General features: G+C 39.3%; 1 protein-coding gene across 4 annotated transcripts in view, besides 1 other annotated feature; it reads right to left on the bottom strand.

Moving 5' to 3' along the window:
- The window catches only part of NFIA (nuclear factor I A), a 385,562-nt gene that overhangs the window by 24,700 nt on the left and 333,169 nt on the right, over nucleotides 1-27,693 (bottom strand). For 3 of the 4 annotated variants that reach the window (NM_001145511.2, NM_001145512.2, NM_001134673.4), the window contains one exon: nucleotides 11,533-11,624. The exons of the other annotated variant lie outside the window; for it this stretch is intronic. In NM_001145511.2, coding sequence (NP_001138983.1) covers nucleotides 11,533-11,624 — 92 coding nt within the window. The remainder of the gene's footprint in view (nucleotides 1-11,532; nucleotides 11,625-27,693) is intronic. 4 annotated transcript variants of the gene reach the window in all.
- Nucleotides 997-1,498: an enhancer, noted in NCBI's record as "NANOG hESC enhancer chr1:61902263-61902764 (GRCh37/hg19 assembly coordinates)". NCBI's record gives its function as "activates a minimal SCP1, AML or CMV promoter by ChIP-STARR-seq in primed H9 embryonic stem cells {active_cell/tissue: H9 hESC(primed)}" and the evidence as "EXISTENCE:reporter gene assay evidence [ECO:0000049][PMID:30033119]".

Below are 27,693 nucleotides of genomic sequence, written 5' to 3'. Positions count from 1 at the left end.
ACAGGTCTCAATGCTACTATTGCCTATAAAATCCTGTATCTCAGGAGGATTGAACCAAGCAAGGCAGAGGTTTCTTCACATATAGAGATCCCACTGTGCCCATCACCTGCTTCCCATCTCCCACAGAATAAAGTCCAAGTGCTTTACTACCCTTGGAAAAAGGTATGTATTTATTCACGACTAGACTCTGATCTAATGTTTCTGCCGTCTACTGTAAACTGACAGATACACCAAACAGAATAGGGTTCTTCAGACACACACTGCTGTTCCTTTGCATGCACTGTTCCTCCTGCCTGGTCTGGAATGTTCTCCCCACCAAGTATATCTGTCTCCTTCAAAACCACTCATGTGTCTTCTCCTCTGGCATATCTTCCATGAGCTCCATGCTTCTCCCCAGAGTTAGTTACTGACTCTTCTGTATGGATTATACCTATTTCAATTACTTCATCGATCACATCTTAGTTTATTTACTTTTCTTTCTGTGAGCTATGTACGGCAGGGATTGAATAATGTACATCTTTAGCCTCCCTTCCAGCTTAGTATGGTGCCAGGAACATAGTAGGTGCTCAATAAATTCTGGCTTCTTTCTCCTCTCTAAGATCAATCATGCAGCTGGCGGGTGGGAGAGATGAGCTAGGAATCCAGGTATTTTGACTCCTAGTCCAGGGTTTCTCTGTGTACCAAGATGTAGAAAAACTCCTAGTCCAGGGTTTCTCTGTGTACCAAGACCATAGGTCCCTCCTATGGTCAGTTCCCTTATTAGACCTACTATGTTATTCTTCTATCCCCCTAGTACCACTCCTTCCCCATATATGCACAGACACACTGCCAGGGACCAATGGAAGGAAGACTGCGCTTGAGAGGGGCAGAAGCTGTATGTCATGAGGGCTGGCCTTATGCTTCCCTTCACTAGTCAAGGCAACAGGAGATATGCAGCATAGTCCAGCCCTGGAGGGCAGCAAAGGGTGCTTCCCACATTATTAAGGCAGCACTGTGAGGGTCCGAGGTTGCCCTGTGCTGAGAACAACTGTGCCTGGTGGCATCCCCATTATCTCAACACATTCAGACTCTGAGGAAGGAGGGTGTTGAGGGTGAGAAACACAGGGCCAGAACAGCCTGTCCTAACCCAGTGTCCCTGCTCCAAGACAAGGGATCCGGCTTATCACAAGCTCATGTGACTCATTAGTTAAATGTGTAAAGCGTTTGGAAAGTGAAAAGCCAATTAGAAGTGCTAAGTTATTTCATCTCTGCTGTAAAGGAAGCAATGTGAGACCTTAAGAAAAATTCTCATGCAAATATTTTGGGGGAGGTGTGTGCTGTGGAATGTAACTCAATGAACAGACTCAATAGAAAGGCTATATCCCAAAAAGACAGGGCACAGATCAAAGAATGTGCCTAAGTCCTCAATAAACAAACAGGAAGGTAAGCAGGTGGGTGTGAGAAAAGTGGCAGGAAGAATCACTGAGACCTCACGTGAGATCTTCGATGGATCTCACATTAGACAGCAAGCTCTGGGCTTGAAACTGTGTGTGTCAGTGGAACTTTCAAGGCCTTAGACTCATTAGAAGCCCTGGGAAAGCCTAGGTCCAAAAGGATTCCTAATGCTGAATCCTTTCCTCATGTGAACAGTCATTATTTAGAGTGTAGAAATATTCGGTAAGGCCAATTTCTTGGGCATAGGATTTTCACAAGCAAGGACTTTGTGGACAGCGAGAACACCACCTGTATTGAGTTCTCTCCTCAAAGTTCATGCAGCAGGGCCAGTCAACTCATTTTCCTGTTCTCTGAACTTGTGTTGACTCAAGCTCTGCAAAACCAGGCTCTTTTCCTTTGCAAAGGAAGCATCTGGTTCCAAGTCATAAAAGAGAAACCCAGAACCTATTGCTGCCTGTTTGGTAAGCACTCTGGAGGGCACCCAGGGGGCACTGTTTCACAGAGCTCCCCTGCAACCACAAAGGCACATATCCTCCAACTCAGCCTTTTCAGAGTCCATGTTTAACCAGCACACGGTGACCCAGCCCCATGGGAGCAGGTCTGCACAAAACGCCAGGACTTCTGCCCAAATCCTGGACCTCAAACAGAGGCTGAAAAGAAATGACCTCTGCACAGTCACGCACATAGCATCTACATCTCCTAAACACATAGGGAGTGTGTGGAGGAAAGGCAGAATAATAAGCCAAGCATTCAGAGACAAGAGGGTCAAGTGCAACTACTGGAGTTGAAAAGTGCATGAAACCTATCAGGGAATAGGAAAAAAGAATATGGCAGATCCTATTAACAGTCTATCCACTACCTATTGCGCCTTCTTCCTTGGGACAATTTTGCTTAGAGAGGCAAATGTGACTGGTCCTAGGTGACGGTCATGATTTGAGCCAATCAAGATAATCTTCTGCTGGTTTTCTCAGCATCCTTTGCAGCTAGAGATTAAAATGTGACCCAGATTTAGCCAATGAGACCTACAAAGAAATTTGCTAGCAGGGTGCACAGGAGGAATAGCAGGGCCTTTTCCCTGATATTAGAGGAAAAATAAGGTATGATATGACTATGCTATTTGGAGCTGCAGCAGCCATCTTGCCGTCAGAGGCTCTAAGCATGAGGCTGAAGAGGCAGCATACTGAGGAAGACAGAGCAGAATGTTAGGAACGGCATGGGTTCCTGTTGGCCTCGTGCAGCGCTGAAACAATGCCAACAACCACTCACTCACAGATTTCTTGTTACGGGAGGAAAATAATCCTGACTGGCTTAAACCACACTTAATTGGGGTTTCTTCTATGAGGTAGATACTATTATTGCCTTCATTTCACAGATGAGGAAGCTGAATTTTAAAGGGTAAGATACACAAGATCACTGAGATAAATGGCACAGCCAGGATGTCAGAACAGGTCTGTCCTACTCCTTGAATCATGACTTTTCCTCCTGTTCCCCCAGAGAAACCTGGTGAGTACCCAGTACATTTCCCTTAGTACCCTGGAATGTCACTGATCAGAAGCATTGTTATGGAGACCCACCTAAAAGCTAGAAATGTTGATGGCATTTCTGCACTTGGCACTATGGTTTTCTAAGTTCCATGCATGGCTATCATCAACTTTTGATCTAGTTCCTGTCAGTTCTGTCCACCAACTCACAACTCCTTTTTCCAACCCTTTTCCTGACATCATTTTCTGTCCCCCTTTTCCCACAGTTCCAAGTGCTAATTTAATGGATAGCAGATTTTTGGTCTATTCCCTTCCTCTCCCATACAATGTAAAATTTCCTGTGAAATCTCTTTTTTACCTTCCCCTTCTCTATTGCCACTGTTCTCACTTTAATATTAAAAAAAAGGAAGCAAGAAGAGAAGCAATATTTACTGAGCACCTATTGTGTGCCAGATACTATGGCAGAGACCTTAATTATTACAATAATCATCAATTTGTTTCAACTAAGAAGATCCCCCAAATCTTTGTGGAGCAAAGGTGACAGGAAGAACAGGAACTGAGAGAAAAGGTGACCAGTATCTAGAATTAATGGCTCGAACTTTGTCCAGAAGTGAAGTTTGTGGCCAAGGATGTCTACGACATGCTGCCAAATTAAAACTTGAAAGACAAAGACTCTGTTTATTGAAAAATTTATTTTAAGAGTGTCTCATAGCCTGTCAGTGAGTCAGCCGCCAAGTGTATGTGAAGAGAATGTGTCAAGAACTTACAGGTTGGTGTGGGAGCTGGGGAAGCTGGGACGATTCACTCCTGCCCACAGTAGTATGGAGGGAGGGGAAGCAGATTGCATGAGTAACTCATCTCTGCGAGGTGTTGCTTACTATTCAACACCTGCTACTGGAGCTGAGAACATACGAGAAAAAATGACCAGGCACCACCTCGATTTAGGTACCTCCTTTCCCTTTAGATTCTGAGGGGTGCATTCACTTCCTGCCAGTCCTTACCACTCTCAGAGACATTGTCTCCCCTTGGGAAGGCCCTTCTCAGGCACAATTTAGCGTAAGAGAAGCAATGGTACACTTAGACTGCTGCCTGTACAAGGGAAGAATAGCTGTGCCCAATTTAAACAGGCTTTTGGGCACCTGTAAGGTTGATGCTCAGTGGAACAACCTACAGGGTTAGGATTTTGCAGTGGGTAGTAGGAGGCTTCCTAATTTGCTAGACGGTTGCTTTTGGTAAGTAGGTTCTGACCATAGAGCAGCAGGTGCTGAATGGCTTATACACAAGTCCTTCCTTCATAGGACACGTGGAATCAGAAGTGGGTTTGTGTCCTGACTCTACTGACCTCTGGATATGTGGTTCTGGGAAAGTCACTTCCCCTCTTTAAACCTCAGTTTTTTTTAACCTATACAGTGGGGATAACAATAATAACAATAGCTCTGCCTACTTCAAAGTGTAACTCTTATAATCAAATGAGAAAATACTTTGTAATCCAGAAAATAAGAGTTTAGTTATTAACCAAACAATGAAAGCTATCATTTGTTAGGTATTCATTAGGTGTTAAACACTTTTTTTACACTAACAGAATTTAAGACCCAAAACCATAAGGGTGTGTGTGTGTGTGTGAGTATATATACACACACATATTTATTTCTCACTATTTTCACTATTTTACAGTTAAAAAACTAGGCTAGATAAATTGAATTACTGTGAAAAAAAAAAGAAACCAACAACAACAAAAATAAAACACACAGAATGCTTCTAAGTGATGGAATAAAGCTTCAACTAAAATCTGAAAATAAAGGAGTTATCTTAGCTGCTCTGCTATCTGGTCTCTGGACAAAGGCTAGCTGTTCCCACAGATGCAGACTAATATCATTAGTAAAGGTCTTCTTCCCAGGCAGGATGAGAGAATGAATTCAGTCTTGGTTTTACAGAGACATGAACTAACAGGAGACCGGGGCAGATCTTCAGAAGAACGAAGTTCAGCACAGTCCCACTGGAGCCAGGGAGCACTGGGACTAACTTCAAGGCTTCTGATTCCTTGATATAAGAGTGTGAGTCAATCTTAGACTCTTTTAAAGAGAAAATGGTCAGTAACCTATCACTACAAACAACTGGGGATGCAGATAAGTATTTGTGAAAAACAGAAGTTCTGGAGACTGGTTCAAATCTCAGCTACTTCAATTACCATGGGACAAATGTACTCTTCTGAAACTTCGGTTTCCTCATCTGTAAAATGGAGATGTAGCACCTTAGAGGGCTCTCGAGTACTGCAGCGAGTGTAGGCACAGAACCTAGCATGCACGGGTGCTGTAGAATATTCATTTGGCCAATAAGACTTTTAACTTGGCTCAAAGTCAGGAGAAAGTGGAATTTTATCTGCCATTCCTCTCTAATCTTGGGAGTTTGCAGCTGTGAGGGCTTGAAACTGAAATGCTCAAATCCACTTCTAATTAGAAGATGAGGTAGGGTTGCAGGGTGGGATATATACATGTGTATATATATCTCTGTATATATATGTATATATATGTGTATATATATGTGTGTACGTGTGTGTGTGTGTATATATATATATATATACACACATATATATTTTTCCCTCTAAGGAAATCTGAGTTTCTTGTCTTTGTAACTCTCCAGCTGCTCCTTGAACTTCTGTGTGGTAACTAACCTTCTACACTCAGGCAGCTCCTGTCAGGGTGGGCAGGAGCCCGGGAATGGCGTCAGCTAACTGAAATGCAATCTCAAGTGAGCTTGGGTGGGCAAGTGAGGATGTACCACCAGGAGGAGGTGTTTCTTGGAAATGAGGGGTGAAGGGGTTTCTGGCTGAGCCTTGTGCAGCAGTAAAGGAGTCTAATTTTATCTGGTCCAGGGAAGACAGAACTGAACATGTCTCTTATTGGGATGGGTTAGAACACGATCTACCATCTGATTGGCAAAAAAAAAAAAAAAAATAGGGAAAAGTGTACAAGAACCATATCATTAGGCCCAAGCTAGACAAGGACAAGGACAGAAAAACTATCCAGCCTCTTCTGCTGCTTCCACTCTTTGGAAAGTTCCTATACCCAACTCTGTTGTCTTAAAGCCTCTTAGACAAATCTTTATAGTACTGCGATTACACTGTTTTGATGTTGGTGTTGTCATTACCATTATTTCTTCACATTTGTTTCCTCTGCTAGACTTTGAACAACTCGAGGAGAGTTTTTATTCCCTGTACTTTGTAGGTGTTGAGGCTCTATTAAGCAATTAAGTAAACACTAAATGACTGAAGAAAGGAACTTATGAAGAGTTCCACAGATGGTCTAAGCTTTGGTTTCTCAGGTAGAGCTTCAGGAATATGACACACGGAATGGCAACAGCTCAAAATGCTCTCCATGATCTCCACCTCTCCCATTCTGGGTGCACCCCCACCAGAGGCAGACAACGGGTGTCATGCCCATAATTTGGCTATGCAGGGACCTCTCCAGATCAGCCAGCTTCCAGCACAGTGAAGTGTGTGGCTTGTGCATACATTTGTAAATTTCATGAGGCAAAGGCAATCACACTGCTTGCAAGTCAGGCAGCTAAATGATTTATTAAGCAAAGGTTATAGCACCTGTGCCTTTTTGTCAACAAATCAGGCCCATGCCATGCCAAGTGATTCTTCTAATAGTCCAAATGGTAATTTGGTTTTAAATAGCATTTTGGGTACCATGATACTGTTGATGCAAAACAGTGATAGATTTGGGTGGTAAGGAGGAAATGCCTGTTTTTAATATTGTTTGCACCCATTTTTCATTTTAAAGAATTAGTCCTCATTGGAGTTCTGTAGATTAAGCATTTTATTTAAACCTTTTGATTAAACTAGAACCTGTATCAAAATGAGTTCTTTGCTCAGTCCCCTTGTGTGGAAACTGGTATTTCTATTTACTACCTGATGATGAAATATTAACTTTTTTTTCTTTAAGTAAACGCCTCCTCTTAATGGTTCTCATTTTCAGGGATCAGATTAAGTTATGGGATGCAATTGAAATGGCCATTGGCTTTCTGCTATTTGAAACAATGGCAGGTTCCCTATCATTACATTATACCATTCGGTGGGCATGCAGGGCACGTTAATAGTGTCTAAAGTGAAGTAAATACTGTATGCCCCAGAGACCTTTCTATATGTTAATATCAGCTGTCACGGGACAACGTTGAAAAATAAGAGATTCAAGGTGGGACAAGTGGCCACAGTTTCTCAGTATTGATGGGTGTTCTAAAGGCTGTAGGGAGGTGGCCACCTCTCATCTCAGTGATCAGTTACAATATGGAGAAGGAGGAAAAAAATGAGGGGCAAATGATGGTAGCAGAGGTAGCAGACAAGTGAGGTGGAAGAATGGGACAGATAACTCGGCAGGAATGTTCGAACAAAGCCGAAAGCCAGGGCCAGATATACAATGCAATTGGAAGGCAGTTTGAAAGAAAACTAGCTCAAGGCAAGGCTAAAGAGAAGGCAATTCTGCTTCAGTCAAGGGAGGAATTCTCTGGAGAAAAAAACAGACTACAAGGGAAAGAGGAGGAAAAATGGCTTTCAATTATCCACGTTATCTTTCCCCACCAATCATTACAGATGATGAATAGATGCAATAAAAGCCAATATTCAATTTTTCCAATTTACATGGAAAGAAGGCCATAATATATTGTTAAGGGGAAGAAACAGCAGGCTACCAAACAGCGTATATAATATGATCTCACTTTTTGCAATATATTTGTATGCACAGAAACACTCTGGATGGATTTATACAGAAATGTTAACAGTAGGACTACAAGTGATTTTTATTATTTTTCTCAACTGTATTTTCCACAATTAACATGTATTATGAATATAATAAGAAAAAGTCATATTTTTAAAGTTCTTTCTGAACCATTTAGACTCAGCCAATGTATGCAGAGTACCCACTATGTGCTGGGCATGATAATTAGTGCTTTTCTGAGCAGTCAGCACACAATTACTCTGATCAACAGTCCACTTGCTCTGACTGTTTTACAGAATTTTTTACTCCTAAGAGGTGAAAAGGACTTTAGAACTTTTTTAATGATCACGTTTTAAAAATTGTGGTGAAATACACACAATGTAACATTTACCATCTTAACCATTTTTGAGTGTACAGTTCAGTGGGATTTGGTATGTTCACATTGTTGTGCAAACATCACCAACATCCATCTCCAGAACTCTTTTCATCTCGCAAAGCTGAAACTCTGTACCCCTTTAACACTAACTCACCATTCTGCCCTGCCCCTAACCCCTGGCAGCCACTACTCTACTTTGCATTTCTATGAATTTGACTACTCTAGGTACCTCACATCCGTAGAATCATACAGTATTTATTTTGTTGTGACTGGCTTATTTCACTGAGCAGAATGTCTTCAAGATTCATCCACGTTGTGGCATATGTCAGAATTTCCTTCCTTTTAAAGGCTGAGTAATATTCCATTCTATGTATAGACCACATTTTGTTTAACCAATTCATCTGTCAATGGACACTTGGGTTGCTTCCACCTTTTGGCTATTGTGGAGAATGCTGCTACAACCACAAGTGAACAAATATCTCTTTGAAACTTTGCTTGCCATTTTTGGGGGTATACGCTAAAGATTATATTTTAATGCAGTCTTAGGGACAAAAGCAGGGACTCCACCAGTAGTATCCCTGAGAAGTGAGCATCAGTTGCTGTTGGAATATCCCCAGGGAAAAGAGCTCACCAGCTCATAAGGCAGTAACATAATACAGTGGTTAGAGAGCACAGGCCTTGCTGTCAGACAGAACTGGGTGCAAATTCTTGCTCCACTCCTGACTATATTGTATGGCCTTGGGAAAATCAACAATCTCCTTAGTCTCAGCTTCCACATCTATAAAGTAGAGCTCTATCCTATTAGGTGACTATAAAGATTAGGTGCATCACATACTTGATGGATTTAGTACATAGAAAATGCCCAGTAGAAGCTATATACAATCAAATAACTCTTTTTCTTAAAAAAGATCTTATGATAGTCTGAAGCTGCCTACTTATAATGTCTGCATTGGTTCAATTTCTACCCACTTGAAAAAACAGAGACCCCATCAGTTCCATCTTCTACAGGATGATGCTTCAGGCATTTTAAGAGATTTCCACTGGACACTGGCCTTTGGGAGCAGAAAGCCCATTTTATTTTGCATCTGTTTATAGATTTATGTACAAGATACTGCTTCTACATTTAGAAAGCTTAAGTATCTGCTTGGGTGACTCTTCAATTCTTATTTCTCCATAGGTAGAAAGCAAAATTTTGTTTTCCCAGATAACTTTTCCTGTAATTCAATTAATATAAATGTCATGCTTTGTAACAAGGGTATCAATATAGAAAAACACAAGTTTGCCTAGGAAATCTGCCGACCATGTTCTAATTATGTTTTTAAAAATTCTTGTCAAAAATTCCTCTTCTGAACTGATGTCCTCTTGAAAGGGAACTTATTTTTTAAGGTATATTATTATTTTTATTATCTATATCTACGTATATCTAACACTTTAAGTGGTCCCAGAAAATAGTTCCTCATTTAAGGGAAGAGTTAATATATATACCTTAAAATTAAAATATTTAGAACACATAATTTTTACCTCAAGATATCTTTTTTTGGGGGAAAAATGACAACTCCATTAACATAGTTTCTCATTAGACAATTGGGAATGACTTTCTTCAAGCCAAATGTGGCAGGTGTCACTATGGTAAGAAACATTTAAGCTGTTGTCCCCATGACGCCAAATATTTAACAGAAACCAAAAAAAAAAAAAAAAAATTCAGTTCCAGATGCCAATACTGGGCCTACATGACATCATTCATCCAGATGCGTGGAAAATCTGGATTTTTAAGAATTGAATTTTTGTGGTCAGCATTATGAAAACTCAGATTCTGGGTTAAGTAAGGCATTTGTGAAGGAAAGCCACAGTGGCATATAATACATTTTGATTATAAAGAAATAAATTGAAAAGAACACAGCATACAATTTCAGGGCTGTGAATCACAGCTTATATAAAAAATACTATGTAAAATACAAACAGGACATTTCAAAGCTGCATTTTAAAGGCTCTTAATGAAGCAACTTGAGGACATTCGTGCTTTGGGAAAAGCAATCATCCAATATAGAGCCACCATCTCCAGTTTTCCCCCTCTCATTGAACTTGGACACTTACGCCAAATGTACAAAATTAAATTATGTTCTTCTGTTTTAATGCTTTACAGGTAATTATGCAACTTCAAATTCACCAGAAAAGTGTTTGAATATTTGAAGGTATGGGAGAATAAGCAAATAACTGAAAGAATTTTGTGAGAGGTACTGAATAGGAGATTTTAATATCAGACGCCATATGCAGGCCAGTTTAAGAAGAAACAGCAGAGGTGGGAAATTCAAGAGTTAACCTTCTCCCTCCCCTTTTAGCTCCCCCTGTCCTCCCAGCTGCCTTCTCTGCTGATGCTGTACTTTCTGTGACCCTGCTTCAGTGTGAGGAAGGCTTCAGATACAATGCAGTTTAACCTGTGCTGTCGACATAGCAATAAACCAAAGCCCTTTACAGAGGGGGCAAATGGACCCAGGAAGGCAAATCTATCCCATTCATATAGCACCTGGCCATAGTTTTACAAACAGAGGCAAATAGTTATAAATTAGGCATCTGGAGATTCCACACACAGGCATGTGCACAAAATTGCTCCAAGAATGTTTTCAAACACCGCGCTAAGAACCTTACAGAGAAAATACTTTCCTTATGTTAATTATGATAAAATATCGCCATGTTCTAATTAGGAAATCAGAGAGTTTATTTCAAAACGTGAATCTAATTCTATTTCACAAACCTCTAAATGCCTCTACCTATACTAACTTTGAACTTAAAAAGCCTTTTACTGTTTCTCAATATACAGCAGCCATTCCAAAACTTTTCAAAAATATTTCTTCTCCTTGACCTAGACTAGCACAAAACACAACTGTCTATGGGCAGACAAGCTCTGGATGTCTGAGCAGTCCTCTTCTCTCAATCACCTGCTTCAGATATGACTCATACACACCCCTTGCCACCCACCGCACCTTGCTCCCCAGTGGTCAGCAGTAACCACTAATAAACACGTCTTATTTCTGGACCAACACCAGCAACTTAATAGGGCTCATATACCCTTTTCTCCCTCTTTCTTTTAGAAAGCTTGCCAGGTGCCTGGGGACCCTCTAATGAATACAGAGGAGTGGCTGGTCCCTCCATGCCCAGCATGCACTCTGATGTCACTGGCAACCAGATATTACTTTCAGGTTCTGTAGGGGCCTGCTTCTGTCTGCTTGCATTTAGAGGACCATGAATTCCTATAAGAGGGAACACACACTAGCTAACACTGGGAAACCTTTTTGTGCCATAGCTAAAACAGTTCTTCTTCTACCCACTCAATACAAGAAGCAAAAATTGCAGGCAAAATTTTCTGTGATTTCTGAGAACACATGGAAATGTGGCTGGTGGGATCAGGAGGAAAGGGAAGACTGGACAGGGTCTGGAAAATGTGGCCTTTTGTGCAAAAGACAAGTTAAAATGCACCTGATGAATAATACAAGCTGCACCACATACAGAAAAGATGAGAGCGGCCCACCTGTGTCTGTTGAGGGATATTTACAAAGCTTGGATCCCGTGGTCCAACACTGACGAATCGGTTTGCGGGGGAGGTGCTGGGTGTCGAGTAGGCTGTGAAGGGAAGGGACACATGCGTTCAGGAAGCGGCACGAGATTGCACACACAAACAACACCAAAACACACAGTCTCCGAGCCGACGCAGCTGATTAACAAGGAAATGTGCAAACACTGTAGCTAGCAAAGGGGTCTGGCTAGCAAGGGCATTTCAGACAGTCAAAAAAGGGGGAAGAGGGATTGGCTTCCAAAGACTGTTGGGATAAAATGATGTCAAACTAATGCTCAGACGAGCTATTTTCTCCTTCTACCATACAAATTAGAACATGCAGGACATTTGCAAAGTATACTTTCTGAGTTAAACATGAGCTCTGGAGTCAGAAAGAGATATCCTATTCTTTAGAGCAGAGGGAGAAAGAAATTAGGTAGGAAGGGGAGGAAAGCAGTTCATTTTACAAGCTTGCTTTTCACACCGTTACACTCTTAAAAAATCATGAAATGGTCCTGTGCCTCTACAGCTAGAGATCGAAGAGGAATCTTTATAGAAGGAACTAATGGGTTCTCCAGGAAGGAGATAGAAAACCATTCAGAATAAGCTGTCTTTAGAGGCCCTGTAGTGTCTAGAATCTTTATGATGCACAAAATATGCTTTTCATATTAACATTTGTAGTCTTCCCATCCTAGAACCTTTCTGTTCAGGCATAAACTATCAAGACCCTTTATCAACTAAGATATCACACTGGAACCTCAGGTACCACACTTCAGTTTACTATCCTTTCTTGGTTCATGGAAGTTTTGTTGTTGGTTTTTGTATCTGTACTTAAGAGCTTCTTTCTACTTTAATGGGAAAAAATTCAGTGGCTTTGTTGTTTCACTGGCTCATAAATCCAAAGGTACATTTTGTTTTTTGGTGTCCTTCAATTCACTTCTTTATCATCACCTCCAAGGATTTGTTCACATTCTTCCTCTGTACTAGAATCTTTAGACTGTTACTTAAAAATTTCAAATGTCTTAACAATAATTAAAAAGGCCTAAGGTTTTTAAACTAACTCCAGACACACATCATCTAAGAAACAATCTAGGTTTTTAAGCTAACTCTAGACAAACACCATCTAAGAAACAATCAGGATATGCAACTTTTTAAAACACAGATAATTGAGGGCATGATATCAAATTCCTGCCAGATTTTTTTTTTCCTTATTGACATCATCTGCTCCTCTTACTCTGGCTTTCTGTTTTACAGAAAATTGCTCATACTTCTTGTTTCTCTCATTAAACAAATCTAGGGATAAAATTTCCACCATCTGGCCCAGACCCTGTTGGTTGTCTTTGGTAAGAGCTAAGCCACCCAAACAGATCTGCAATGGTCACATGGATGTGGACATGGCTGTGTTAAAACGGCACTGAACAGAGGCTGAGCATGAGGGTCCCTGATGTCTCTTAAATAAGAAACTTTTTGTGGTAATAGTATTTGTTTTAGGAGGATCTATTCAGTAATGACTTTATTTAAAATGATCTAAATGTATGATATGTCATACTGTCTAGCAATGTAAATCTACTGATTTTGTCTCTAGCCCATGCTATGCCAGACTAATTTGAACAGATTTGAGAAATACCTCTGCCTTTAGCCATTCTGCCTGTACCTCTCACTTACTGGTATGGGGGTAATTTAATTTTTTTAAAAGCTCAGTAAAATAATCTATATTAAGTGTACCATTCACCCCATGGCTTTACTTTGATATGCTTTGAGAAACAGCAACATAAAGTTTTTATATTGAAAAGGAGAGACTATAATTATCTGATAGTGTGTTCCCCTGCTCTTAGAGCACAAAGAGGATGTGGGAGGGATAAAGAGGAAGCTAGGAGGTGAAATAACCTGTTGAACCTGTTAGTGGTTAGGGAAAAAAGTGTTCTTTCACACATGAATAGGTAGGTAGGTTGAGAAGGAACAAAAAGGAATGAAGGGTATATTAAGGTATGAAGTCTATGAGTGATTGATGACAGACGCTGAAACGTGAGTCCATGTTTGATGGCCCTGATAGAACAGTGTGCACTCGCCTGCTGCTCATCATAGACACATAGCAGGATTTCCTATGACATTCTTACCATACTGGGGACATCCAAAACAAGCATGCTAACTGATCCCAACACAGAAGCCATTCTGGGGGTTGAGGGGGGGGTGTCATTTTTTGTGAAGATAGCTTCACTATAGCAAGCTTGCTAAATCTGGAAAGGTATTTATATTATATCCCATCACCTATTTTTGCTTAACCTCAATTTCTCCATTTGAAAGATTTAGCATGCAAATACTTTAGCTACACAAAATTTCTATGAGGCCAACAATCAGATATTTTCTCTTCTTCAATCATGGGACAAAACTTGCAGTCTTAGTTTCAGAACATCCCAGAAGGCCTTTCATGCTATCAAAGCCTACCAGAGCTTCTAGAAATTTGATTCTAGTTCTTTAAGAAAAAGAACAATGGTAAGAGAGGTGCTAGGGGGTTTGCATTTATATATATATATATTCATATATATTCATATATAACAGCTACAAAAGTCTACTAGTCTTTGAGTACTCAAGTGAAAGAATGGGACAAATGGTGCCCAGGCAAGTTTATTCCATAGAAAGCTAGCTTCTGGGAAAAGGACACAGGGAAAATAAAGGAAGGAAGAAAGAAATTCTGACTCATCTTCCATTATTCTAGCAGGGCAGTTACCTATAACAGGATATAGTCCCAAAAATGATATAACATAAGTTGAATTTGATTTTCCTACAGAAACAATTGGATAAGGGAATTACACTGTTGAATAAAACCTTAATTGAAACTTTTTGTTAAAACAACCACATTTACCATAGTGAATCAATTATACATGCACAGTTAAGAGCTTACAATGTGAATATAAAATCAAGCAAAGGGGCAATAAGGTAATTAATTACATACAACTGTGTATACTATGATATTATATCATATTCATATCTTTCTTAATTACAATTCTTGCCTTATTTACAACAGCAATAATCAAAGCTGTAGGTAGAACTATGAAAAATAATAAAATCCAGAAAATAGTTTTCTGGGGAGATTATTGTAGGACATTTTTGGGCATTCTGGAGGGGAGGTTCAGAAGTACTTGATGACTTACTGATAAAGTCAACAGGGAAACCAACTTGGCTACCTAATCTTATTATAAGAATCCTTATGGCAAACATGACTATTAGAAATCAAATCATTGATTATTTGGCTGCTTCTGAAACAGAAAGTGTTTGCTTTTTTTTTTTTTAGCAGCCATTTTACCTATATTAGCAATAGCGCTATGAACCATTTTCCTAACATTGAAGAATGTTCCTATAAGAAGCTTCTGGCCAGATCTCATTTGCACTAATCTGACCATATTTTCTCTCTCTCTCTAATGTATTTCTTCACATTATCCAAGAGTCTTAGTTTGGCCTGCACTACAGCAGTAAGTTTCAAAATCCCAAACCAGAATTTGATCCCATATCCAGAAAATTTGCATTCTTTCTGTGTTACCCCCTTATGGTAGGCATTGCTAATTATATAATCCTTCACTTAGACAATACCGGTCCTGCCTCCCTAAGATCAGTCGGGGAATGGCTCAAGAACAGTTCTCTCTTTATGAACAATAGTTTGACAGGGCCTCTGAGGATGCTAGGAATTATCTCTAGGGGCACTGTGGGGTACATGGACATGAGGGAGTGGGGTGGAGAGGGTTAGTAGGGGAATCATCCATCAGTACTGCTCTTTTTTTTTTTTTTTTTAAATAGAGACGGGGGTCTCGCCATGTTGCTCAGGCTGGTCTCAAACTCTTGGGCTCAGGCAATCCTCTCGCCTCGGCCTCCCAAGGTGCTGGGACCAAGCACTGCTGTTTATCATGGCGGATGTCCCTGAGAGGACTGAACGGCCTCTACGTCCTCAGAAATGAATGTGGCTTACTGACTGCTAGCCAAACAAATTCCAGTTTTTGTTGTTCCTGTGGTAGGTTTCCTTTTTTCTTTTTCCAAATGGGAAGGTATAAGGGATATATCTGCAAAAACGAACCATGGCATTTCCAGATGAATTAGTTTTGAGTTTGTAATAGCCTTCACTCAACCATTATACCTGAACATGGTGTTGAAAACGTGGTCAAACTGATTTGAGTGGAGATGCTTTCAGCTTGTCTTTGGAAAAAATATGACTGAAGAAGAAGATATTAAGATATTAAAATATTCATGCCAACGTCAGTTGAGGTTTCTTTATTTTTTTGAGATGGAGTCTGGCTCTGTCGCCCAGGCTGGAGTGCAGTGGCAGGAACACAGCTTACTGAAGCCTTGACCTCTTGAGCTCAAATGATTCTTGTATTTCAACTTCCTGAGTAGCTGGGACTACAGACACGTGCCATCATGCCCTTCTAATTTTTAAAATTATTTGTGGAGATGAGGTCTCCCTATGTTGCCCAGGCTGGTCTCAAACTCCTAGGCTCAAGTGATCCTCCCACTTTGGCCTCCCAAAGTGCTGGGATTACAGGCGTGAGCCACCACACTCAGCCAGTTGATGTTTCTTTAAGATAAAAATAATATTAATAAAATTCCCCAAATCTGACAAACTAGAAAATGTGAGTTCACATTGGTTTGTTTTGAAAGCAGGCAGTTAGTTTCAAGGTTTAGTTCAAATTTAGCAATCACTAAAATACATGTAATCACAGAAAGGCAGAAAAGGGAGAAAATTTAGCCAGATTTCTTCCGTGTAAAGGGTAAACCTGAAAGGGGAGCTGCTCTTTGAACAAACACCCCTCCATATACCCACAGGGTGCCCAGAAGGAGGCTAAGTGGCTGGTTTCACCTGAGGCTGACCTACTTGAGTGACAGCCAGCTCCTCTGGCCGCAGCTAGGAGGAAAATGTGAGGCACCTTGGCAGAAAAGATACGGCAGGGTGAGCTTTGAGGTTCTGAATTTACTTCCAGATGCAGGAAGCGATGAGGTACCCTAAACCCTGGCAGCCTGGCCTACAAACCGACATGAAGTTTGAAGAGAAACTGGTCTTCTGTTTTATCAAATACTCCAAATATACGGAAGTAGCAAACATTCACCCCCTCTTCATTCCCTTAAACTCGATCTACCAAGTCTAGCTTCCGCAGTGCATCATAGAGACATTTTAATAGATTCATTTTTTTTCTCTCTCTCCAAGAGATATTTCAACACTTGCTACGTGCCAGGCTCTGTACTGAGCACTATGGAGGATGCAAAGGCGAGTGAGACACGCTGCTATCCCCAACATGTTACAGCCTAATGGGGAGAGATAAGTACAGAGGATGGAAACATGAGTGCCTAAAAAGTAATATAAATAAAACTCTGCAGGGTGTAAAGGACAGAAAAGTGACACTGGCAGGAGGAACAGGACAAGCCTTACAGGGGAGATGGAGCGGGCCTCTGGGATGGGCTGTGAAAGATGTGTTGGTTGACAGGTTCCAGTGGACTGAGGCCACCAAGGGCACAGCACAATTGGAGGAACAGAGGCAGGGAACGGAGCTGGCAATTGTGGAGGGAAAGGAGAAGATAGAGAAATTGCAAATTACGTTTTGCCATACAGCAAGGAAAGGTAGTATTTTAAGGATCAGGGATCTAAATGTTTGAAAATGACGGGCAAGAAGCCTGTTGAATTTATTTTAAGAGGAGGAAATAATTTACAAAATAAACAGACACCAAATTTCAATTCTAAACACTGTTAAGGCAACTAGACATTCTTCCACTCTAAACCTTTCCCTTCTCATCTCAAATATCAAGATGCACCTTCATGTGTTCCCTCGTTTTCAGAAACTCAGACATATTCATGTGTGGGAGTCTCCCTCTAAAGCTAGTCGAAAATTCAATTTTATTCAAAATAGGCTTACTATATGATTCTACTACCTGCTCAAAATTTGCCAGTTATTAGACAAAAGTAATCAAAACAAGTTCAGGAATATAGACTTAAACAGAACCCTGGGTATTCAAATTGCAATTTTATTAAATGTTTATCAGTGACTCCTGGCAGTAAAGGAAACGTGCCTAAGAAGCATTCAGTTGCAAACTGAAACAAGGAGGTGGCTAAATACCTCATTGAAATAATGTCCCGAATCTTTTAACTGCACTGTCATGCTATTTAAAAAAAAAAAAGGTCCTGTGAGAAAACTTTCATTTCTAAAAATAATGCAGAAACTGTTAGAAAATATATCGGCTAATTTCTATATGAAACCATTACAACTGAACTCACTTAAAAATTTGAACAGCACTATTTCTTACAAGGTCACAAAAGAAATGCTAGAAAGTATTGGAGTGTTTCTCCTTCAAAGAAATCAATTGGTATCGACAAGTTTACAGGGCCTGGGTTAGTATTAGTAATATTATTAGATAGCTAGAGAAACAGCCTTTTAAAAATCTACAGGCCTTACTTACACATGATCCAATATTCAGAGATTTAGAAACCCCCACATGATGGAATGGATGTTGTAGTTTTTATCCAGATGTTTAGCATCTAGAGGATAACTACGCCGAATTTCTATTATTCTGATCACATCTGTACAGCTACCTCGTCCTATTATTTCTGCAAATCTTTTGTCTCTACAAACAAGTTACCAACAGCAACAACAAAAACTCACAACCCTCAGGGCACAGAATAAAAGCCTCCTTATCGCTAGTAATTACAGAACAACATACCCACAAGCTTCCTTCCTGAAAAGCTAATGAATTCTAACTTAAATATATTAGCAATGCTTAACGTGTATGCTAACTATTTGCATGGCATGTCTAAGGTGCCAAGAAGTCACAAAAACCATGAAAAGAAATAGTCTGGCCAGATGGCTTTGCTCTGTTAGTATTTCTGTTTGTATTAAGGATCCTAAGGGCAGTAGGAGGTCAAGCTATATCAGAATTTGGGGTAAAAAGTATAGAAAGGGAGGTGCAAGAGAATTCATGTTATAATGTGCACACAGAGAGGAGACCAGAGTAACCCTTCAACTGGAGACGCTTTGACCTTATGTTACCAAAATCTGTGCAAGAAGAAGGCACTTTACAATGAGTGCAGTGAGTGTTTCCTGTAGCCAATCTTTTGTTTTAGAGACAGGGTCTTATTCTGTCACCCAGGCTGGAGTGGAGTGCAGTGATGTCATCATAGCTCATTGCAGCAAGTGATCTTCCCACCTCAGCTTTTCCGGTAGTTAGGACTACAAGCACGTGCCAAGGTGCCCAGCTAATTTTTTTACTTTTATTTTTTGTAGAAGTAGGGGTCTCACTATGTTGCTCAGGCTGGTTTGGAACTCCTGGTTTCAAGCAATCTTCCTGCGATGGCCTCCCAAAGTGCTGGGATTACAGGGGCAAACCACTACACCTGGCCCACAGTCTGTCTGTCTGAACTGCCTGTAACATTCTTTCTCATAATAGTTTTTAAAGGCTAAGAATACAACTTTGTTTCAGTTCATTTAAATTTACTTCTGATGGCTGATCCAAATTTTATGACTGTCATTTATTTTTATGTGTATGCTGTGTGTTGCTCAATTGACAGAAAATGTTTATTGATCAGAAGCAACCATGTATATGGGTAGGGACAGGTGAAAGTTATATTAAATAGCCACAGGGAATAAACCCTGGATTCAGCTGGAGTTTGCTAAAAAAAGAAACTTAGATCAATATATTGGATTGCTCCCTCTTGAAAGACTTCTGCAGCCTCTCAAAAGGCAGTGCAACTCTGGAATCTACTTCAGGAATTTATCCTCCACAAATACTAATAATACAGATAAAGGTTTATGCTACAAGATGTTCATTACATCATTACTTATAAGAGCAACAAATTGGAACCAACTTATAAGTTAATGCTTCATCCATACATTGGAATATTTTGCAGCCATTAATAATATCTTAAAATAATAATGTAATGTGCTTATAAGACAAAATAAGAATCATTTACAAAACTGTATAATACACACATATATCATGATCAATTATGATTAAAATATGCACAGAAAATGACTGGGAAATATGCACAGAGAGTGATTGTCTTTGAAGACTGGGATTATGGATGATTTTTTTTTTCTTTTTTGAGATGGGTCTTGCTCTGTTGCCCAGGCTAGAGTGCAGTGGCTTTAACATGGCTCACTGCAGCCTTGACCTGCTGGGCTCAAGTGATCCTCCTGCCTCAGCCTACCGAGTAGCTGGGACCACAGGTGTGTGCCACATGCCTGGAAATTTTTATTTTTTGTAGAGACACTGTCTCATTATGTTGCCCAGGCTGGTCTTGAACTCCTGGGCTCAAGCCATCTTCCTGTCTCAGCCTCCCAATGTGCTGGGATTACAGGTGTGTGCCATGACACCCAGCCGGATTATGGATGATTTTTAAATAACTTCCAGTAATTTTTAATCTTAAATAAAACACAAATGGAACCTAAAAATCTCAAATAATACTTTTTTTGGAGACAGTGCAACATAGTAAATAGAAAATAAATTTTAAAAACCAGCAAATCCTGGATTGAATTCATTAGATCTCTTATTAGAAATGTGATCTTGGCAAGCCAGTTAACCTCTCTGAACTTCTCTATATAGAGTCCAGTATAATGGACATTACTCCAATCTCCCAGCCCTTTAACTAAGGCTTTACCCCTCTGTGATATCCAACAGGTCACTCTCTTCACAGGAACAGTCCAAAGGGTGATCCCTATGGAGAGGCTTTGCAAATAGGATGGGAAATCCCTAAAATTCCAATTTTAATATAATTGATACAAGTAAAGAAAAACACTAAAATCATTTCATCAGGGACTACTGATTCCAATATCTGATAAGGGACATTATATCCCCAACACATTTGCCTTCCAACAATTAAAAAAGATAACACCCAAACTTCTCAAGGGTTAATGTTATGATCATACTCGTACACAATTTGAAAAGGTGTAAATTGGCACAACCTTTCTGAAAGCAATGAAGTAATGTGTATCAAGAGGAATGTTCATACTGTTTGTATTAGCAATTCCAATTCTAGAAACATATCCTAAAAAAATTATTAGAGTTGGGGACAAAAATACATGTCTAAGGATATGCTGGAGCATACTCCATAGGTTAGAAGAAAAGTTTATGTCCTATAGTAAGAATATAGGTAAAAATTATTTAAAATCCTATTTCTTAACTTTTTTTTGAGTACGAAAAGGCATAAAATGTGAATTAATGGCATACTAGATATTATATTCAGTATGGTCACAATCATCTTATATGTGTATACACACACACACACACACACACACAAAGATGAGGAAACAAAACCAAAATGTTAATAGTTGATAATGGGAGAATATAATTTTCTTTTTTATGCTTTTCTATATTTTGCAAATTTCCTAAAATGCCATATATTATCTTTATAAAGAAAGACTTAAACTCATCTGTCATCTGAAATAATAAAAAACTAAGGTGAACACAAGAGTTGACTGGGTTATGACGACCCAAATGAATGGAATCATCCAATGTTCTGTTCTTTTTCCTATTCCTTCTTTGTAATGCTTATCTCTTAATCTTTTTCCTGCTTTGGTTTCCATGTTTTTCATCTATTTCAATGTACCCAGGATGGTGTTATTCTTGACGTAATGTAAAAGATTTTTAATGGGGTGTTTTAAGATTTTCAAAGGAAAGCTGCATGATATTACACCTCTAAACATAGTATGTGTCCTGGTAGAGTAGAAAACACTGGGCTTTGGAGTCCAGCAGACTGGGATCTGAACCTTTGCTCCGTTTCATCTTCTTTAAAAGGGGCTAATAATTCCAATTGTGCAGATTTATAATAACAAATGCAACTAAGGTAATGCATATGAAAATACCTATCAAAATGCTTGATTTTTAATAATTCTTTTTCTTTTCATTTAAAAAATTTAAACACCAAAATATTAGACTACACAAAATTAAAATACTCTAAAAAGTATTTATAACCAATTATGTTATAAGATAGTACAAGTACATTTATATTTAATGGGTTCGTAAGGCAGAACCTGCAACCAACTAATAGCTACTGTGAATGAAAATGCTCACCTTACACTGAACCCCATGCTCTCTGTGAGGGGGAAAAGAGTATTATTTTTTACTAGAAAAATCACACATTTTTGGAATCACTCCAAAAGTTCAGGTTAGTACAGCTAAAAGCTAGATGTATAAAAATTGCCAAGGATTTTATGAACTCCCCCATGTGTGAGTATGTGGTTTTGATCACTGTCATCATTTTAGTATAAACAAGATTATTAGATCACTAGACAAATATTTTTAAGAATAAAGAAATCATAATATTTGATATAAAAGGAGGACTGAAAACTTAGCAATATCTTTCTCACTGGATAAGGCACCAAAAAGTTGTCTGCCAACAACCTTGCCCCTTTCCCTGGAGTAAACCACTATTAGTTTCTATCCTTCCACATACAGTCTGATACGTACATGCATCCCCTCTCCCATGCAGCATTCCATACATATTTCTTAGCACTCTCCTTTGCTGAATTAATGTAACAATATAACTCAAGGATTAGTCCATGAATTCATGGAGACAGACCTATCTTTTTATTTTTAAAGAGCTCCTAATGTACAATACTCAGTTGGTAGGTATTTCAGTTATTACCAGTCTCTTATTGTAATCAATGTTGCAATCAATACTTTATGTACATTTTTGTTCATATGCCCTAGCCATGTATGCACGGCTTACATGTAAAATTTATATATGTACTAATATAGGTACAAAATGTAAACATGTTTTTGTGTTATAAACTTTATCACACACATTTACATTTTATATATATAAAAAACTAAAATGTCCTCTGTAGAGGTTGAACCAATTTACAGTCCTTTAGTAGCACAAGAGAATGTCTGTTTTCCACATGCTTACCAATATTGTGTTAAGACACCTTTTGATCTTTGCTAATCTAATAGGTAAAAATATCACTCAAGTTTTAATCAGTATTGCTCTCATGATACATGAATGAGATGTCTTTCAAATGTTTTCCTTTTCTGTTTATATCCCTTTCTTGTCTTTCTATTGGATTGTTGGTCTTTCTCTTACTAACTTTTAAAAATAATTTATATGTTAGATAATTTAGCCCTGTCACGTCTGTTACAATTTTTTTTCTATCTTTTGTGTTTTGACTTTGTTCATGGTGTTTTTTCCATGCATAAATTTTGGATACTTTCCTTTCATGGATGCTGGTTTTTTGGCATTATTTAGAAAGCCCTTCTTTACTCCAATAGTATAAAAATTTGCCCTGTATTTTCTTGTGCTATTTTATGGCTTAATATTATATTTTTGATTCCGGCTGAAATTTGTTTTGATGTAAGAAACATTATTTTTTCCAGACTGTCCCAATATACTTTACTCACTAACCCCTTTTGCTTCTCTAATATAAAATGCCACTCTTATCATAGATTAAAATACTGTACGTATTTAAGTCTCTTTCATAATCTCTCAATTTTTGAAACATAATGGGATAGCAGCAGCACTGGTAGAGGAATTAAAATCAACATGGAAATCAAGCAAAGTAAAATAAGTTCCCTGGCACTAAGTGACATCAGACTTTAAACTAAGAGTAGGTGAGAACAATGAAAGAGTTTGGGGATTGTTCCGTATCTTGTCTGTGGTATTGGTTACAAGAATGTTATTAACATTCACAGAGCTGTACACTAAAGAGTGAATTTTATTGAATGTAAAATTTTAAAATTAAGAAAAAGAACAGTAACATAGTCCAGGCGTCACTAATGAAAAAAAACAGTTCCGCGAATGGAAGCCACTAACTCCTTTTTTTTCATTCTTTCTTAAAATCTACTGCTTCTTCTCTGACAGAGGAAACACAGTCCTTATATTTCCCCTCAAACTTTCTGCTCTCTTCCTTTACCTGCTAATAAGATGCACTCTCTGGAACAGAAACCAATTCATACTTAAGTATAAACAACTACTAACATCTTCCTCTGTATTTCTCCCATTGGGTTTTCACTGAAAAAAAAAAACAAAACAAAAAACCAAAAAACCAAGAAGCTTTGGGCTAAAGCAAAGATCCTCATGCTACAGCCAAGCCTATGAGCTCTAGGTTGAAGGTGAATTGGATGGAAATTATGACTCTAGCATCCTGGCTGAATGACCTTGAGAAAGTTACTTTATCTTTCCATACCTTGTCTTTCTCAATCTGGCTAACAAGAGAATTTATTTCATAGGATTATTCTGAGGATGAAGTAAGATAATACATATATAAAAACATTTTGTGAAGTGGGCTGGGCACAGTGGCTAATGCCTATAATCCCAACACTTTGGGAGGCCGAGGCAGGTGGACCGCTTGAGGCCAGGAGTTTGAGACTAGCCTGGCCAACATGACGAAACCCTGTCTTAACTAAAAATACAAAAATTAGCTGGAAGTGGTGGTGCGCACCTGTCATCCCAGCTACTCAGGAGGCTGAGGCATGAGAATCACTTGAACCAGAAAGATGGAGATTGCAGTGAGCTGAGATTGCGCCACTGCACTCCAGCCTGGGTGACAGAACAAGACTCTGTTGCAGAAAGACAAACAAACAAAAAAACAAAAAAACAATTTGTGAAGTGCCTGACACATCTGTAAAAGTAAAATACTTGGGCCAGGCACAGTGGCTCATGCCTGTAATCCCAGCACTTTGGGAGGTTGAGGCGGGTGGATCACAAGGTCAGGAGTTCGAGACCAGCCTGGCCAATATGGCGAAACCCTGTCTCCACTAAAAAATACAAAAATTAGCCAGGTGTGGTGGTGGGTGCCTGCAGTCCCAGCTACTCAGGAGGCTGAGGCAGGAGAATCGCTTGAACCCAGGAGGTGGAGGTTGCAGTGAGCTGAGATAATGCCACTGCACTCCAGCCTGGGTGACCAAGCGAGACACCATCTCAAAAAAAAAAAAAAAAAAAAAAAAAAAAAGCAAAATACTTTGTTGTTGTTAATTTCTGACAGTAGCAGACAGCTGTGGTTCCCCCCAGAATCAGAAATCTAGTGACATTGTTTGTAATTTGTTCAGTTACAGTATGAGGTAGTAGAAAGAGCATGGAAAGGCCTGTATTTGACTCCCTACCAAACTAACCTGGGAATGTAACCTCCATCTTCCAATCTCAGTTTCCTTGCCTATGAAATCCTGACCTCATAGGAGTGTTGAGAAGATGGGATAAGATAATACATATGTAAAAAGAGCTTTGTTAACCAAAAAGCATTGAACACATGTTAATTATTATACGAGAAATTTTAAATCCCAGTCATAGATTATTGTTAGGTTCTTGGCTAACGAATTCATATTCATTTGTATAATGAATATATACAAGATTCATCAAAGATATAAAAATAAATAATAAAGGTAACTTATTATATGCTTCTATTTTAATAGAATTCTAGTTGAAAAAATTCAAAGTTCATAGTGAAGAAGGCATGGAGAAACATATTGATAGGTCTTTCATGCATTTTTAAATTGAGTTTTTGTGTTCCTACTTAATTAAAAAAATATGCATGTTTTATCTTCCATCATAATTCAAAAGTGTTTTTTCTCTTTCTATTATATCTCTAGATTATGATGCCAATCTTCATTTTTTTCTGGAAAAGTCCATTTTTATAGTATATTGATTCCAATCTACAATATAAAAATTGGAACTTAAAGTACAGTTACCAGAAAGAATTGTGTATTTTGAATTACCACAGCACAAACAGACCCAAACATAATGAAAGCTTTGTCCCATGCCAGAGCTGTTCTCAGGACTCTTAGGTCTATTCATTCATTGTACTACATGTTCAAAAAGGAGTCCCTTCTCAATTTAATGAGATGATACACACAGAAAAACCCAGTCACCTGCAAAGAGCTGTGAAAGGCAGCTTATTATGATAAGTCCAGCAGTAAGATGTCTAATAGGCATCTCAAACATAATTTGGTCAAACCGAACTTCTGATCTCCACCCCTCACCCAGAGATGCCCCTCCTGTGGTCTTCCCATCTCAGCTGCTGGCAACTCTATCCTAGTTGCTCAGGTCATAAACACAGGCATCATCACCAATTCTTCTCAACCCACATCTAATGTGTCAGCAAATCTTGCCAGCTCTACCTTTCAAATATACCTGGAACCCGCTTACTTCTCATCACCCCTATTGCTCCCACGTTGGTGCAGGTCATTAGCAACTCTTGCCTGGAAGATTGCAATAAGTGCCCCTCCCTATCAACCCTGCTTGTTTTAGTTTTCTCCATTGTACTTACTGGTCCTTAACTCGCTAATTTACTTATATTTTAATTATTGTTTATCCCCTTCCACTAAAATGTAATCTCCACCAGGGCAAGGGATTTTTGTCTGTTTTGTTCACTTTTATATCCCTTATACCTAGAATGCTGGCTGGCATGTAGAAGACGCTCATTTTATTTATTGGAAAAATCCAGCTTTTTAACTCCCTGCTTTAATTCTTTAATTCTTGCTCCTGACAATCTATTTTCAACAAAACCTTCAGGATGTATCTATTAAAATCTAGGTGGCATTACCTCTCTGCCCCATCTCACTCAGGGTAAATGCTGAAGTCCTTATAAGAGCCTATAAGAACCGGTGTAATTTACATCCCCAAGGTCCCAAATGCATCCTCACTCCACTCTGACCTCACCCCCTTGCTTTCATTCCCTGATCTCACCACATTGGTCTGCCTTTCTACTGGCTGGTTCTTCTGCTTGGAAACCTCTCCTCCTACTGCATCCTTGCTCACCCTCTCGTCTTTGTCCAGACTTTGTTCAAATTTGCCCTTCGCAAGTAGCCCTCCTCTGATCACCCTGCTTAGAGCTGCATCCCTCCCCTCTCGGCTTGATTTCCCTATGTAGCACTTACATATCACCATCTTATATCCTACGTACCTTTCGTACTCACTATTTTGTTCACTGTCTTTCTTCCCTCTCTAGAATCAAAGTTCCATAAGGCCAGGGATTCCCTGCTGAATCCTAGCACCAAGAAGAGTGCTTGGCACACAGCTGATGCTCAATAAACATTTATTGAATAAATGAAAGAAGTGGTCCTTTTTCAGTAGGTATCAAAACCCACACAGGTAGTTAATCTGTGGGAATGGAGCACATTGGTTGTGAAATGCTCTTACAGGTTATGCTTCCATTTGTCATAGTATCCTAAAGAGACCTGGCACAGTCTATCAATCTTTCTCCAAACAAATCAAGATTATAAAAATTATTCTTGCCCCACCCCCACTTCCCTACTTCTTAGGGCGCTGGTAAGGATTTTTCCCATTAAAATGTATTTATTTCACAGGATTTTTTTTCCCCCACATCTGCCTTCCCCCTGCTTTTCTGGCCACAGCTGCAAAGTTTAGTATTAGTGCCAGAGGCAACTGATTAGTTAAAAAATACATACTCTGCTCCAGGCTGGCATCCATTTGTATTTCATTATAAGAAGATATTAAAAATGATGCCTTGGACTTTTAACCGTCTACAGCACAGCACATCTGTTACTCCTGTTTGTTCTGATAATCTGACTACGAGAGTGAGTAGAGCAGTTAGTGTTATTCCATCAATACATAAGGGAGTTGAGGTCTAGAAAAGCTGATAATACAGAAGACACTTGGCATATTTTCCTACTTTTATTTTTATTTATTTTTATATATATTTTTTGAAACAGGGTCTCGCTCTGTCACCCAGGCTGGAATGCAGTGGCGTGATCTTGGTTCACTGCAGCCTCAAGCTCCTAGGCTCAAGCATTTTTCCTGCCTCAGCCTCCCAAGTAGCTGAAACTACGGGTGCACGCCACCACACCCAGCTAATTTTTGTATTTTTTGTAGAGATGGGGTTTCACCACATTGCCCAGGCTGGTCTCGAACTCCTGAGCTCAAGCAATCTGCCCCGCCTCCTAGGCCTCCCAAAGTGCTGGGTCTACAGGTGTGAGCCACGAAGCCCAGTCCCTATATTTATTTTTAGAATTGTATTTTATTGCAAGTCATCTCAAACTCCTAAATAGAAAAGGCTGTTTTACATCATACAGTTTACATTTTTGAGAACAGCCTCCATTTCAGACATCAAACTGTTGGGATGCTGAGCACATGTACTGAATACCCTGTCATGATGCTCCTTCTTGCTAAAGTTGAGCTCTCATAAGCTGACAAGATAAACAGAATCCACTCAACCT

Source organism: Homo sapiens, chromosome 1 (genome assembly GCF_000001405.40).
Source record: "Homo sapiens chromosome 1, GRCh38.p14 Primary Assembly".
NCBI classification, from domain to species: Eukaryota; Metazoa; Chordata; class Mammalia; order Primates; family Hominidae; genus Homo; species Homo sapiens.
Note: the sequence above shows the minus strand (reverse complement) of the source record. Positions and strands in the feature narration are given on the sequence as shown.